The 16,674-nt window shown below is 34.5% G+C and overlaps 1 protein-coding gene across 3 annotated transcripts in view; it reads right to left on the bottom strand.

Annotated features, from left to right (window-relative positions):
• Positions 1–1,482: 1,482 nt before the first annotated feature.
• Positions 1,483–16,674, bottom strand: part of FGFR1OP2 (FGFR1 oncogene partner 2) — a 28,179-nt gene continuing 12,987 nt past the window's right edge. Inside the window, exons 2-7 of one of the 3 annotated variants that reach the window (NM_015633.3) lie at positions 13,838–13,986; positions 11,471–11,588; positions 10,388–10,530; positions 7,503–7,616; positions 4,676–4,789; positions 1,483–3,535 (exon numbers count right to left, since the gene is read on the bottom strand). In NM_015633.3, coding sequence (NP_056448.1) covers positions 3,398–3,535; positions 4,676–4,789; positions 7,503–7,616; positions 10,388–10,530; positions 11,471–11,588; positions 13,838–13,972 — 762 coding nt within the window. In that variant the 5' untranslated portion in view covers positions 13,973–13,986 and the 3' untranslated portion in view covers positions 1,483–3,397. Of the gene's footprint in view, positions 3,536–4,675; positions 4,790–7,379; positions 7,617–10,387; positions 10,531–11,470; positions 11,589–13,837; positions 13,987–16,674 lie in introns of those variants that run through there. The other 2 variants (NM_001171887.2, NM_001171888.2) reach the window with 2 other exon arrangements.

Here is a 16,674-nt window from a genome sequence, read left to right as displayed (position 1 = left end):
GTTGTCATCAAGCAGGATGGGAAAGAGTATGGAGGCGTTCTGGGAGGTTTGGAGTTTGGCTTTGGACATCTTAAGCATAAAATTTCTCTTTGACAGTCACAGCTGCATGAATCCGGGGTGAGAGGTCTATGCTGGAACTGTGAATTTAGGAGCCATCAAGCATAGAGGTGGTATTTAGTCATGAGACTGGGTGAGATCACCAGTGAGTAGAGACACTGCACAGAATAGGTATAAGGACTAAGCCCAGTGGCTCTCTAATGTTAAGAGGTCAGCGAGAAGAAACAAAGGAGACTGAGGAGCAGCCAGAGAGGTTAAAGGAAAAAGTGTCTCCTCAAATTCCAATTAGAAATTATCATCTTCATCAGTATTTTACTAAAAAATGTTCTCCTATTTCACTCTGACAATGAAAAAAGGTAGTGACCACCAAAATTATGGATCTACGATTGTCCATTTTTCATTGAAGCAATTTTTTTTTTTTTTTTGAGATGGAGTTTCACTATTATTGCCCAGGCTGGAGTGCAATGGTGAGATCTCGGCTCACTGCAACCTCTGCTTCCCAGGTTCAAGCGATTCTCCTGCCTCGGCCTCCCAAGTAGCTGAGATTACAGGCACCCACCACCATCCCTGGCTAACTTTTTGTATTTTTAGTAGAGACAGGGTTTACCATGTTGGCTAGGCTGGTCTTGAACTCCTGACCTCAACTGATCCACCTGTTTCGGCCTCCCAAAGTGCTGGGATTACAGGGAAGCAATTTATTTCTATAAAATTTTAGAAGTCACCTTGATATTAAAGAATATAAAATTAGAGCAGAAATTGTGAGGTTATAAATTGGTTTTTAAGAACTTTCTTATATAAAATAAAAATATAGTTGATAGATGAAAAACAATAGATGTCTTAGTTTCCTAGGGTTACTCTAACAAATTACCACAGGCTGGGTGAATGAAAACAACAGAAATTTATTTCCTCACAGTTCTGGAGGCCAGAAGTCTGAAATCAAGCAGGCTTGGTCCTTTCTGGAGCCCGTGAAGAACCCATTCCATGCCTCTCTTGCAGCTTCTGGTGGTGGCTAGCAGTCCTTGCGTAACTCATTGCCTCTGTCCTCATGCTGCTATATCTGTGTTTCATATCTCCTCCTCTCTTATTGTAACGACACTAGTCACTGGGTTTGGAGCCCACCCAAAATCCAGGGTAATTATATCCTGAGATCCCCTAATCACATCTGTAAAGACTATTTCCAAATATGGTCACCTTCCCAGGTGTATCAAGTTAGGACTTAGACTTACCTTCTAGGGGACATGATTCAACCTACTACAAATGGTAAGAAGTTCTGCAGGATCCACACTAAGAAGCTGCTAATTCCTAAGGAATACAGATAGAGGTCACTGCTAAGTAGTTTTGCACTAAGAAGAGACAAAAAACCTTAAAATTAAACCATATATAAGAATAAGGGTAAGCACTTTTCAAATTAAATTGGAGACCATACCAATTTTAATCATTCATCTTTAATAATAAAATAGGTTCCTATGCAGTACATACCTCAAACATAAACTTAAGGTTCTGTTTAACAACAACCAAAAAAAAAAAAAAAATAGGATGGAAATGTGTCACTAAATAACAAAGTAAATGTCTTTAAACATGAAGACCTTAAATTCATATCCAAGCAAAAAGACGAAGAATAAGTTAACCCAACTTGTTTACAAAAATAATTATTTATCAAGTAAGCTTTTATAGTAGAGCTGCCTCAATGAACTGCCTCAGACTTAATCTCAATGGTGTAGCTTGAAATAGATTTCCTTTATTAGCAGGGATAAGAAGTATCTGAATGAATGTGTCATTAAATTAAGGAATACTTTCCCAAAAACAATAAAAAGTTTAAAAATAAAAACTGTCATTTATTTATAAAATATCAAATAAGGCCTCTGACTGAAAAAAAGAAATCTATATAATGTTTGGGCCATTAGCCCTTTTCTATTCAATCAGTCTCATCCACCCCATTCACCCCAAACTTAAGATAAAAAAATTCTCAAGTGTAGTTTTGAATTTTACCAATATATGAAATTATACATAAAATTACCATATAAAGTAATATTTAACAAATTATATACTCAAAGTATAATTTTCCATTTGTCTTAATTTTAATACGTATTCAACATAAATGAGTACAATATATTTAACCATGTTTGACACTCTTCTTTTATCCCTTTTTAATACAATCACCACAACATAAGAAAATTTAGGTTTCAACTGATGTTAAAGCACATTTCTGTATCTGGTGGTTTTTAAAAAAATTACATATTATATATTTGACATTTTAAAAGACAACAGAAACAAATCCACAGATTACTCCACCTTTACCCCCACTTTCAGCTGAAAGGTTTTAAGAAAAATCTTGCAGGTTATGAGGACCAGATGGAGCTTAAAAACAGATCCGGAACTTTTTTTTTGAAATTGTATTTACTTTTTTTTTTTGTATCTCAAGAATACTTAAAGGAAAAAAAAAAGGGTTCTATGAGCCAGAGGAATTCCCAATTCACTTTGAAATTACCATACCTATCTTGCCATATCAAACATTTCAATTCTGTTAACTAAATGAACTACATAATATCCTTAAAAATCAGCCAGAGAAGAGAAAAACAAATCTCGTCTTCATTATTGACTTTGAACCAAAACTTATTCTTTCAAAGGAGTAGTTTAACCTACTAAATATGTCTATTATAAGATCTTCTTTCTTAGAAAGTAGTATTCCTTCTTTTTCATTCCTGAAATGGTATTTCTTACACTTAAACAAGTTATGGACAATTGTTAGCTAAGTATCAGTTATGATAAATTGCTAAAATTAAATTATCTGTTTAAGGTACATATAACACATTCCTATAGCCTTTAAAACTGTATTTTCTTTCACAAAAATTTAAATAAATGTGAAAGTAGGCAATCACTAGAAGTCTCATGGTACATAAACTTTGCATCAACTTTGACGCCAAATAAGGATGAAATTTAGCGTACAAATCCTCCGTTCACAAAACAGTGGCAAAAATTTATATTTTTAAATTGGTATAATTTTATGCATTCTCAAACATTTACTGGGAATATTCAAGTTTACCTAATTAATCACCCAGAAAGCCAGCAGTACTGCCAAAAGCTCTTGGTATATTCAGTAGTCACTGTGAAAACTTTTCATTTCTTTACCATTTGGCAATGGCTCAGTTTCTATTTTCCAATTATGTTTTGGAATAAAGTCTATGACCATTAACTATGCATTTTTTGTTGCTATCTCATAGCCCGTGCACTGTACATATTTACAGAGAAAAAAATAAAGGATTGAATTTTCTGTCCATTCATTCATTCACTTATTTGACCATTTGGAGCCATGTAAGAAGCTCACAGACTCAGAAACTCTTCAGCTCTTCCTCAGACTCAAATCACTGTTGGTCACTAATGCTGACAAAGAAGTACTTTCCGACGCATCATCTTTCCTTAGGTTCAAAAATGATTCTCGAGTTATTTGAAGGATCTCTCTCAAGCCTTTGTTTTCTTGCTAAAAGGCAAGCAAAAACAAAGATGCAGTCACTATCTACAAGGTAGCTACAACATCACAAACATATGTTAGGAAAAACTGAACATATGAAGGTATAACAAACAAGCAAGGTCTGTAATTGGCATTAATCTACTCAATGATATATGCAGTTGGCAACTTGAATCTAAAGAACACTTATGCAGCTAGGAATCGTGTTCAACATCTTCCACCACTGCAAAGCCTTCTTACTTAAGCAGCTATAATTGTAAACAGAAGCTCAGAAATTGCCTTATTTTACAATCACATTAGAGATGAAGAAAATAACATCTAGATTTATTTTTATATAAACTCGTAAAGCCAGTGAATAGGCTAGAATCTCCTAGTAATTTTTAGTATTTTTATTACTTTCCATGATAGCATGGAATGTAGGACAAGTTTAGCTCATTGGCATTTGAGAGCAGCAGGGTAGGGGTAGCTGATGATATTTTTCAAGAAGGAAAGTAAGTGACCAAATCTGGCACTGGTAAATAACTTTGCTTTCTGGCCTCCTTTTGGTTAGTTACTGTAAAAAAATTTGTAGACATTTAACAATAACCTTTCATAATTTGTTCTCTATCACTTTATCTTCAGTCTCACTTTCTAAATTTTAGTAGTCTAAAGCAGGTTCCCCGCCGTGATTTCAAAATGAAGCTCTTAAGGCATAAAAGTCTATTGTACTGATTTCAGTTATTCAGAGACTGGTACTTTCACTGTCATAAAATAAAGGACAGATGACAAAGGTTTTTAGAATCCCCAGAAAAATAAGAGTGCCCCTAAATATTTGTGGATTAAAAAAAATTTCCCTGTATCACTATGATCTCTAATAGAATAAACAAAATTTTAAAAATGACTCAATTGAAGAAGTACATTCACTTCATAAGATAAGCAATATAGAATGAAACATCAATTTTCTACATTACTGGTATATTGTAAGTTACTAATAATCCTAGATTCTTGCATCACCACATAAATGGTCTTGCATAATATGCCCACATAGACAGCATCCAGGAGAACATTACCAGTACCCAAGAAGAGTAAATATATATTTAAAAATGGGATATATTTTCTGGCATAAATCTTTATATGGACAGTTTTCATCTACATTTGCAATGTAAAACTTACTTCAAGTTGAAATATTCGTTCTTGTTCCTTGCAACCCTGTTGCTCGTCAATTTCAATGGCTTTCCTCATTACTGCTGCCATTTCAGTTATCTGGTCAACATGTGCTTGCAGTTCCTGAAAAAGAGGGATGGGAGTTGGAAATCAGCAAAATACTTTTTTATTTTTGGATCCTCTCCTTTTTATAAAATCTGCAGTACCACTTAACATGAATATTCTTACATTGTCACTTAATATGAATAAAACAAATATTAACAATGAAGTTGGTTGACCACAGATGTGCTTTTGAAATCAAATTTGTTAGGACTAGAATTAAGAATAAGCAGCACAATATAACTAAACCTAGCAGCAAGAAAAATACTCATATTTTACATTCCTCTCACCACAATGATCAGCAACTTTTTCTTTTTTTTTGCACTTACATACACTATTGTTCAAAGTAACGGGAATGATAAAAATTGCCGACGCATTCAATCTCTTTTCCTCCCTGAAGTCTTCAATGATTTAGAAATCTTTTCTGTATTGTTCAGGCCTATAAAGTTATCTCAATCCAATCTGTAACCTTTTCTAGGTCATAATCCTCTTTGAGAGCAGGAACTGCATCTTTACATCCACCTACTATCTAGTGTATGGTATATGGTAAGTATTGAATAAAATGAGCACAATTCTGCTTTTCAGTATTAAAATATTAAATGGCCTTCTTTGCTAACTATTGAAAATATAGTATCAGTATAATACAGACATCCACATTTGTTAGGCGCAGCAAGTAGCATAAATTCTTCCAATCTCATTTTCTTATCTTGCACACCTATGATGTGCCAGTACTATGCTAAACAACAGGAATACAAAGACTGTCAAGACATGTCCCCTGATCTGAAGAAGCTTACAGTCTAGTGAAAGAGACAGACAAAAAAGGTTTAAAATCAACAGAAACTCGAGAATAATCATTTTCTCAATGAACAGCTTCTATAGACCATTATTCACAGCAACTGAGAGGTATTTTATCATATTAAGCCTAAGACTTAAATATAAAAGTGAATAACTCCCCAAATAAACAGTCTCTTCAGTAGTTGTGTATATATATATTTGTAAAAAGGATTTAACAGTACTCCAAGAAACCCACGGAACTAATAAGCTGGAAGAAATGACAAGGTAGTATCTTTGGCAAAGCACATTTAATAACCTCTTAACCAACAAAAATGTAGGTCCTTTTCATGGGGAAACCTATACACTGCTAGTACTCAGCAAGAAGGTACTCTAAAAGGCTAATCTGTGCTGTCCAAAACAATGTTAAACTTAATTAAAATCAATACATTTTTAAAAATTAACAATTCAGTCCCTCAAACGCATTAGTGACACTGCAAGTGCTCAACAGCCACATGTGGCTACTGGCTTCCACACTGGACAGCACAGATAAAAAACATTCCAATCATTTCAGAAAGTTCTACTGGATAGTTTTGAATTAGATTATGGTAGGAAGAATGATATTAAGACAAGTATCTGTCATATTCTGCAAGTTAACCATTAAAATTCCTCCCATTGTCAAGGAAGCATAATATGTAAAAGCAGGTTAAGTACAGATCATTGCAGCTGCAAACTGAGTAAGGGTAATGAGTAAAAACTTTGAATACCAACAGCATCCTCAATTTATGATTTGGTCAGTCCTATGGCACTGACCTAAGTTAAAAAACTACACAGAAAGCAAGCATTTCTTTTTTTTTAGACAGAGTCTCGCTCTTGTTGGCCAGGCTGGAGTGCAATGGCACGACCTCGGCTCACTGCAACCTCCCACTCCCAGGTTCAAACAATTCTCTTGCTTTAGCCTCCCGAGCAGCTGGGATTACAGGCACCCGCTATCACGCCTGGCTAACTTTTTGTATTTTTAGTAGAGATGGGGTTTCACCATGTTGGCCAGGCTGGTCTCCAATTCCTGACGTCAGGTGATCCACCCACCTCAGCCTCCCAATTACAGGCATGAGCCACCATGCCTAGCTGAAGCAAGCATTTCTTTGCCTTTAAAATAGAAGGAAAAAAACTACTGATTTTTTCAGTACCAAGTCTAACAAAGCTCATCATGAGAAAAAACCCAATACTTCAAATAGGGCAGCACTTTTATAAAAGGTCATGGTAATGGTTCACTTATTTAATTATAAAATCTTCAGAGAAGTATCACAGATTTTTTAACAAGCACAAGAGGCAAGATCTGTGCTTTCAAAACTGTCTGGAAGACAAGAAGTGTCACCAACATAACCCTTGAACTGTCTTGAAATGTCTTTCATTTCTAACTCCCTGTCTAGGTTTATTCCTCCTTTATTCAATAAAGACCTGCCACAAGTGAGTTAAAAAAAAATTAAGACACAATGGAGAGAGCACTACTATACTTAATCCTAACATCTAAACAAAGGCATTTTAATTTCATTTGCAAAATCAAAGGACTACAAACTATCCACAATCTGAATTAAAACATTTAATACTTTGACCTTATGAAATCAGTTTAAAATTAATGCCAAGAAAATATCTTTGATGTCCAGAAAGGAAATGACTGTTTCACAGCAACAACTAACAAGAGCAAATAAATAAAGCGTTGGACTGAATAACCTATAAAACCTGCAAATATCTAACAGGCTGTACATGATACAATACACAGAAAATTAATGAGAGATTTAAAGTTTCTACACTGAACAGCATGGCTATTAAAGACACAACATTCTTTTAATAAATTTCATTTATTTGCTGATCTAATCTGGGAGGGAAATTCAATGTAAAAGCACTTTTAAAATGGACCCCCCTTCCATCCACACCCCAAAAGTTGACTGTTTATTTAGTGTACATTCTGATTTGCTTCCAAGTGCCTTCTCTCCAGTCCATGTTGAGGTGCTTCAAGGATGTGTCGAGATGCATCAAGGAAGAATCCTTCGGACTTGTTACGATGTACCATGTCAATCTGTAGTATAGAGTCATTATAATGTTAATACGGATATCATCCGTAATTTAAAAACTGAATGAGTGTTAGTTCATGCGTGTTAGCCAACTGTTTGAAATGTTTGCTTTTTTAAGATTTCCAAAAAGGCATCTGTTCAAAAATAACATGAAAATTAGTATTTGGGTAAAAATGAGCTCTCAAACTTTCTACTGATTTTTTAAGTATGTGCTCAAAAACTTCTAGTTAAGGGCAAAGTTCTGTATTATAACAGTCTCAAAAGGATCTCTTACTCCAATCCAAAATGCTGTTATGTGTAACTCTGTTTCTTAGCTCTAAATGTGTTGTAAAATTACTTTTGTGTTTAGGCATATCAGAGCACTAGTACCTAAACACACCCTACAATACCATACTTTTTGTGCTTTTATTATACAAGTTTCTCTGCCCACCCACCCACTTCTGCTTGTTTACCTACCTGCCCATAATTAATTCAAGGCTGGACTGAGACAGACTTTCTTCCCTTCCTTGTTACCTTTCCAGATTTTCCTTATGACAGTTAATATTGTTCCCTCTAGCGTTCCAGTAACAATTCATCTACTTTGGGATTCATCACGCCCTACCTTATAGTAGATTGTTATGTTTGTGTCTGTATCTCCCACTATACTGCAAGCTTGTACATTCATCTTATTATTTCCCATAACTAACCCAGTGCCAGTATTAATGTTTGTTTAATTAAGTCGAAGTGTCTCCTTTTTGGGAAAAATCAAAATCACAAACATTAATATGTATTAGTGAAAATTAATAACAAATAACTGAATAGTCATTTTATGGGAGGCAAGGATCATCTGAACTTAGATGAAGAATTCAATCTACATAATAAAAAAGGATGGCTTACAGCTATCTTAGGAAATGTTTAACCTTACTAATTAATAAACCAGCTCTGGTGAATAGTAAAATCTAATATATTTTAGGAAACATTTGCTTCTGTCATAGTTGCTACCAGATGGGACCTGCAAGCTATAGTTATCCTATTCTAAGCACTTTTTTTGTAATGGTATTCTTCGCTTTAGATCTTTAACATTTTATTTTTAGGTTATAAAACATACAAACCTTTTAGAAATTCTCAAGATTATATTTATCTTACAAATAATATTAAGTCAACTCCTTTTAGTGCCTTTAAAAAGTCTTAGTTACTATAGTTATTATTATACCTTTAAATTTAAATGATTTTAGAATGGTCTCATTAACAATAGTTAAATTTTGTATTCAAAAGATCACCACTTAAACATCCCTGGATTGCCATTTGATTAGGAGATGAATAGCATAATTAGAAAACATTAAACACAAATTTTTAATTTAATTTATTATTTTACTGGTTGACACAAGAGGTACCTATCATTAGGTTTTCTAATATAATAAAGGCATATAAAGAGCTATTTGATAGGTATTTAATTCTAATAGAATTAATTACTAATAAGTTAAAAACACGTACAAGCACCAAAATGGAAGAAGTATTTTAAAGAATCTAAAATGTGTTTCAATAATAGATAAATATGAAAATATGTCCTTTCCTATTTCTGTTGTAACAAATGGGGAAAAGAAGGCTCATAATCACTGTTTCTTAAATAATATTGGTAATAATAATAGTCAGCTCACCATTATCTAATACAGGTAACAGTCTAGTTTCCACAATCTAGTTTATTATTTTTATTTCATATCAGCAACTAAAACTCAGTTTAAAATAAATATGTGAGAAAGGATTATTCTACTTGTCTTCATAGCAGTTGCCATAAAATATGCCATAAAATATGGGGACATACCAAAGGGAATAGACACAGGGATGACAAAGGGATGAACAGCAGGTAAAACACTAATTTCTAACTACTTCAGCTTTGTTTCTAAAAAATGATGTCAACTGGTATACAATACTGGGGCAAGGGAGCAAAATTTTACTATGTTGGTTCTTCTCCTGAACCCCATGTTTTTTCCATTATAATAAACAAGATCATTTATAGTCTGGATGAATTAGCCTTATTCAGAAAACAGTCTTAAGAAAAATCTACATTAAACTGCTTTCAGATTTTAAAAAAGGTTTCCATTATTTTTTGTTTTTGCAAGAGAAGTCAATACACAAATTTATTAGAAAAAATGTTTCTTAAAAAAATTTCTGTTTTTTAAGAGACAGGGTCTCACTCGGTTGTCTAGATGGGAGTGCAATGGCATGATCGTAGCTCAATGTAACCTCAAACTCCTGAGCTGAAGTGGTCTATCCACCTCAGCCTCCTGAGAAGCTAGGACTGCAGGCATGTGCTACCACACCCGGCTAATTTTTTTACTTTTTGAAGAGATGGAGTCATGCTATGTTGCCCAGGCTGGTCTTGAACTTCTGGCCTCAAGTGATCCTCCTGCCTTGGCCTCCCAAAGTGCTGGGATTATAGGCGTAAGCCACCATGCCCAGCCCTTTAAGAAATATTTCTTAAAAGTATATAGCCCTACAAAAATAATGTTGAAGAGACCAGACTTACCTTTATATCCAAAATAAAATTTATTTTTCAACGTACAAATTAAAGTTTCTAAGAAACAGTGAGAGTTTATAAATCAAACAGAAAATGATATATAACAAGAAATGGAAAAATAAGAAAAAGGAGAAAATGTCAATTAAAAAGATGAAACATTCAACATCATGTTAAAATGCCATTACTAGATACCTGTGATTTTTTTCAAAAAAAATCTGAACACAGAATAATCAATCGTCTCTCTTTTCCATTTCAGGTCACATTTATAGAATGGATTACCTTGGAGTGCTGCTCTTTTAACTTCATTATTATACCCGGATCATCTTTTTTGCTAGCCATTAGCAATCTAAACATTTGTTCTCGGTACTTGCTCATTATAAGTTCCAAGGCCGACTGATGTTCTTCCAGAGATGTACGTAATTCTATCAAGAATAATATTGTATTTTATTCCAACTTGAGTTAAAAGTACACAAAATATTCTCTTCCACTAAGCAACTTATGAACGGGACATTTTAAAAAGAAAACACAATGCACAAAAATCTAGCCATATAACAATAAGAGACACCAAATGAAGTCCCGTATTAGTTTTTTGAATATTTTAAGCTTGTTTCTTGAGAATCATTTCAACAAAGATGTACTAAACAGCAATTAATATCGGCCAAGGCTCCCTCTATATTAAGGGCCACAGACCTCAAGAGTCTAGTAGAGAAAACAAGCATGTGGTAGGTGGCAGAGTGGAGTGTTAAGTCAAATAGATTTAAGAGATGTCTATGGGAAGAAACTGGTGGAAGCTTTGTAGAAGTACAGTGTGAGTTCCCTCAGTTGAAAAGTGAAGGAATGGACCTTCTAAGCAGGTAGGCATGAAAACAGATGACGTGTTTAGGAAGTGATTGGTGTTGGCAAGAGCAAAGAGTTCACAGTGAAGAAAGCTGTGGGAAGAAGATTTAAAAAAAAGGCTGGGAAATGATTTTTAGGGACCCTGTAAAAGGTAATAAGTATATAATGAAAGTTCTTAGGCAAAAGAATTACATGATCAGACTGATTTTTGAAATATCAATCTGATGGTTATGTTGAAGACAGATTGGAAGGGGGAAGAGAGACTGGAATCAGGGAGATCAGTTTGGACATTTCAGGCAAGAGACTGAGCATCTAATCTGGGGGCCAATGCAGTGGGACTGCAGAGAATGAAGCTGGGTTATTTCATAGCTAACAACAGCAGTGCTAACTGGATATTAAGGGTGAGAATCTAAGAGGATGTCAACCAGGCAGATGTTCATATGTGGGACAGGATAAAGAGCAATAAATACGATTTAGGAATATAGACTAGAAATGGGATTAATGTCAAAAAGTAACGTATCTTACCTTTGTTTTCTTGTTGCAACTCTCTGATTTGTCTGTTTTCTTGCTGGATTCCCATAACTAACGTGGACCGTGGCCGATGTCTCGCGACTTCATTAAGTTCTTGAATTTCTTCCTGATACTAATGGGGGAGAAAAACATGTGGGATGAAAATACCTGCAAATATATATATATATATATATATGATATATAAATATAAATATATCTGAAATATACATATAAAAAATCTGATAAGAGCTTAGTATCCAGAATATATAAAGAACACTTACAACTCAACAATAAAATGAAAATAACCCCATTTTTAAAAGTGGCAAAGGATTTGAATAAACATTTATCTAAAGAAGATATACAAATGGCCAATAAGCACATGAAAAGATACTTAATTAACCTAACTAGTCATTAGGAGAATGCAATTCAATATATCCCACGAGGATGACTGTAATGAAAAAGACAATAACAATTGTTGGAGAGGATGTGAAGAAACTGCAACCTTCCATACATTGTTGATGGAATGTAAAATGATGTAGTTCAGGGGTGTCCAATCTTTTGGCTTCCCTGGGCACATCGGAAGAAGAATTATCACGCTGCACATAAAATACACTAATGCTAACGATAGCTGATGAGCTTTTTTTTAAAAAAAAAAAATCTCATAATGTTTTAAGAAAGTTTGTGAATTTGTGCTGGGCCGCAATCAAAGCCATCCTGGGCCATATGCAGCCAGCAAGTCACAGGTCGGACAAGCTTGGCATAGCTGCTTTGGGAAACAATGTGGCAGATCCTCAAAAAATTTTAACAGAGTTATTATATGACCCATCCATTCTACTTCTACATATATACCCAAGAAAACTGAAAACATATGTCCACACAGAAACTTGTACACAAATATTCATAGCAGCATATTCTTACCAGCCAAAAAAGTAAAATAATCCAAATGCCTATCAGCTGATGAATGGATAAGCACAATGTGCTGTATCCTTACAATGCAATATTATTTGGCAATAAACAGGAATGAAGTACTGATACATGCTATAACATAGATGAACCTTAAAAACATTATGTTAAGAAGCCAATCACAAAAAGCCGCATATTTTATCATTCCATTTATATGAAATGTCCAGAATAGGCAAATTCAAAGAGATAGAAATATTAGTGGTTGCCAGAGACTGAGGAAAGGGGAAACTAGAGAGAGACCACTGATGGATGTAAGGTTTTGTGGTGATGAAAATGTTCTGGAATCAGGTAGTGGTTATACTGCATAACCTGCAAATGTGTACTAAAATCCAATGAACTGTACCCTTCAAAAAAGTAAATTTTATGGTATGTGAATATCTTAATAGAACATGTACAAAAGAAATGCAAAAAGATTTTCCATTAAGAAAATGAGAATCTTATTTTAAAATTGCACTTATTTATTTTCAAGGCATTCTCATGAGACACTTAGTAACATATTCATTATAACACTCCTGGTTCTTAACTTCAGATGTCAAACTCCTTTTTTAACAACTCAATACCAGATATATGTTCACTGAAGTGCCTGAGTCTAGCTGGACAGTTGGTTAGGGATGCAGGTAAATCTGTTTAGGGCAACACAGTTGTAAAACCAAATAACTAAACTTGCTCCACTATTTCCAGTAGCTTTGTTAAAAATACTATCCCAGAATTGCTTCCTTTTACAAAATAGATGAGGAGATTTGGCTGTGAATATACATTTTCCCCCTCTGATTTCCATCATAATGTCAGAGATTTTATAATTTTCTTAAATGACTTGAAAATTTTTATCAGAAGAAGGTTAAAATAGTGTCTAAACTCCGTGGCCCATGGGAATATTCTGTTATACAATAGTAAAAATAGCAAGAAGAAAGCCCTTATGTATTCTTTAATTGGTAGCACTGAATGAAAAATAAGGTAGCAAGTATGGGTACAATAACTGCACAGAGTATAAATCACATATTACCTTGCATCATTTTCAAAAGCTATTTTGTTGTTAAACAGCATCACCTAAGTACTTTTATAAAGAAAAATATGAACATTTCTACATTATACAAGACAGAACAAAATGTGTACCAACATTAGTAAAAGGTATTATCTGGTCTTTGTCAAATGTTTCTAGACCTAACAAATTCATTTATTTTCTAAACTCAAATGTGCAACTCTGTCAGCAAAATAAGTGATCAAATCTAGGGTTTAGAAATATATGTCTAGGTATATCACCTGAACACGACAAAATTAAAGTAAACCTGAAACACACAAGTCAAGCTACTTTAAAATTTTAGAGAATGTTGAAAAAAATTAGATACTAATTAGCCAGCAATACATAAATGTCAATGACTGCTTTTGATAAATGGAATGAACAAGAAAGAAAAATCAAACCTGTTTCATGGCTTCTACTCGCTTGTTGAGAGCTGTGGTTTGCTCAATCAGAGATTCTGCTGCATCGTCATGATCTCTTAATCTTTCAACAAGAGCTTTAGCGTCGGCAAGTGCCTTCTCAATTGTGCAACTCATTTCTAAAGATATATCTATAATTAAAATTAAAATCAAGACTCAAAATAAAGTCAACATATCTCTTTATTTTAGCTTCATGTCAACACAGATATGCTTCTTAAGCCACATTTGTTACAGTATTGTTCACTGTCCAGGGAGGAAAAAACACCTAAGAACACTGTGGTTTTGCTTCTGTTAGGATACTACAAACTTGAAAGTAAATTTATACTATTACAAAAAAATTAGAACACAGTTAAAAGATTTGCAGACAGAACTAGAACGCATTTAAAACACTCTAAATTTACAGTGGGGAAAAAAGTACATGTCCAAGGAATATAATGTTATATAGAAATTTGCCCTTTATGAGGGCATTCCCTATCTTGTCACTTTTGAGGAAGATCATTTGGTTTACTGGTCAGTATTCTGGGGTCAATGACTGTCTGAAAACTTTGACTGTAAGAATGCTTCCTAACCTCTGCTTGGTCAGGTGACTTGACACACTGTTCACAAACACTGCTGACCAGCCGAAGTGGCCTCAATGTGTCATGCTACATTAAAGTCTCAACCTCTTCTTGGAAGAACTTCTGCTTCTTACATAAAGTTGCATTATAATTCTAACTCTTGCATCTTCCTTAAAGTGCAAAAAAAAGTTTTGACTTAGGACAAAACTGGTAATTACAGGAAACTTCTGATATGCTAAAATCAGTAAGCAATATGTTTAAGAGTAGCTGAAAGAAATATGAGACAAAACATGAAACAGTCAATTGTCAGCTTCTTCAACTGGTATGTAGAAACCTCAAACAAAATTTTAATAATTTTAAAGTCTCTTTCCAAAACTTTAAGTTTCTCCTGAAACTTACACTTACCCTCCTTGAAATCTTTTATCTTCCTTTTTTTTTTTTTTTTTTTTTGGAGACACAGTCTCGCTCTGTCGCCCAGGCTGGCTGGAGTGCAGCGGCGTGATCTCGGCTCACTGCAAGCTCCACCTCCCAGGTTCACGCCATTTTCCTGCCTCAGCCTCCCGAGTAGCTGGGACTACAGGCACCTGCCACCACGCCTGGCTCATTTTTTTGTATTTTTAGTAGAGTCGGGGGTTTCACTGTGTTAGCCAGGATGGTCTCGATCTCCTGACCTCATGATCCGCCCGCCTTGGCCTCCCAAAGCGCTGGGATTACACGTGTGAGCCACCGTGCCCAGCTGAAATCTTTTATCTTTCTACTAAGTTTTACCTAACGTTCAATATAAGTCATCCTTTCTTCAGGGTTTCCTCAAAAAATAAAATCACACTAAATTACCAGGCCAGAAGCCACGTCTACAGAAGTTAAATTAAAATTTGGTGTAGATCCAAGTGAAGGGTTATAAACAAAGACTTTCATCAACTTTATTAAAACAGCAATTTGCCACAGAATTCAGGACTTTGTTATATACCACTGCCCTGGACTACAGATCTGTACCAACTAGTCCAATTAATGATTATCCCCTCCAATACAAAAAAAAAAAAAAAGCAACAAGTAGCAAAGAGAAAATTTAAATAACTCAACAGTATAAAATATTTCATAAAACACATCAGGCAATTTCAGAAGACTTTCTCCTGTTATTTAAATCGCCAATTTAGAAAATGTCCAATATATGATCAGACATTTCCAGAGAGCCTTAAGAAGTAAACAAGCTGGAAATTAATATAACTTCTGGCTCTCTAGAGAAAACCACCACAAGATTTGTCTTGTAAGATTCAGGAGGTTTAGATAAGGATGCTTGAAAATATGAGGAGTAAAAGGGCCATTAAAGGAACCAATATTGTCTGATACTGGCTAATACCCAAAAGGACAACTACCCAAAATCTATCCGAAGATGCCGTTCTGAGAGAGGCATTAGTGCCCAACAATACCCTGTACTTCCTCTAAATTTCCAAAGGAAATTATCTAAAACTGTAGACAGACAACTTTCTTATTTGTTAAGAAAGTTAACATAAATAGGTTAAATGGACATCACTATAACTCCCATTAATCCCATTACTATAGAACATCGGATCCTTCTGAGTAAACTTTTAAAGCTGTCTGTAAAGCAAAATTAAAAAAAAAAAAAAAAAAAAGGACGGGCACTGACTTGTACTAAGAAAAATGAAATAACCAAAAAAATTGGTTTTATAGTAAAAATAATAGTTTATAACAGATGGTGAAAGTAATAAAAGACAAATTTGAAACTCTACAACAAATTGTAAAAGATTTGAGAGAAAATAAAGTTTACCTTGGTTTAATAGAACTCAAGTAATAGAACTCTCTAACAGTCCTAATCTGTAAATGATATTGTTGGGACTACTATAAGAAGAACCCTTCTTTACACACTAAAACATAACATCTACAAATGCAATAGACAGGATCTGTTTCCAAATAAAACGCAATAAGGTCCTATATATGATCAGATAGCTAAATAGCCCTCAGTCTAGATAGTCTTCCTACATAATCATAAATCTTTTTGAGTACAAAAATAGTACCCTGTGTCCTGGGAGTATTAACAACACGACATCAAAACCCCACTGTCTATTATATTGTATACCTTGGGCTGGGCGCAGTGGCTCACACCTGTAATCCCAGCACTTTGGGAGGTCGAGGAGGGCAGATCACTTGAATTCAGGAGTTCAAGACCAGCCTGCCCAACATGGTGAAACACCGTCTCTACTAAAAATACAAAAATTAGCTGGGCGTGGTGGCACACACCTGTGA

Source organism: Homo sapiens, chromosome 12 (assembly GCF_000001405.40).
Source record: "Homo sapiens chromosome 12, GRCh38.p14 Primary Assembly".
In the NCBI taxonomy this organism is placed as follows: domain Eukaryota; kingdom Metazoa; phylum Chordata; class Mammalia; order Primates; family Hominidae; genus Homo; species Homo sapiens.
This window is presented reverse-complemented; position numbering and strand designations above follow the sequence as displayed.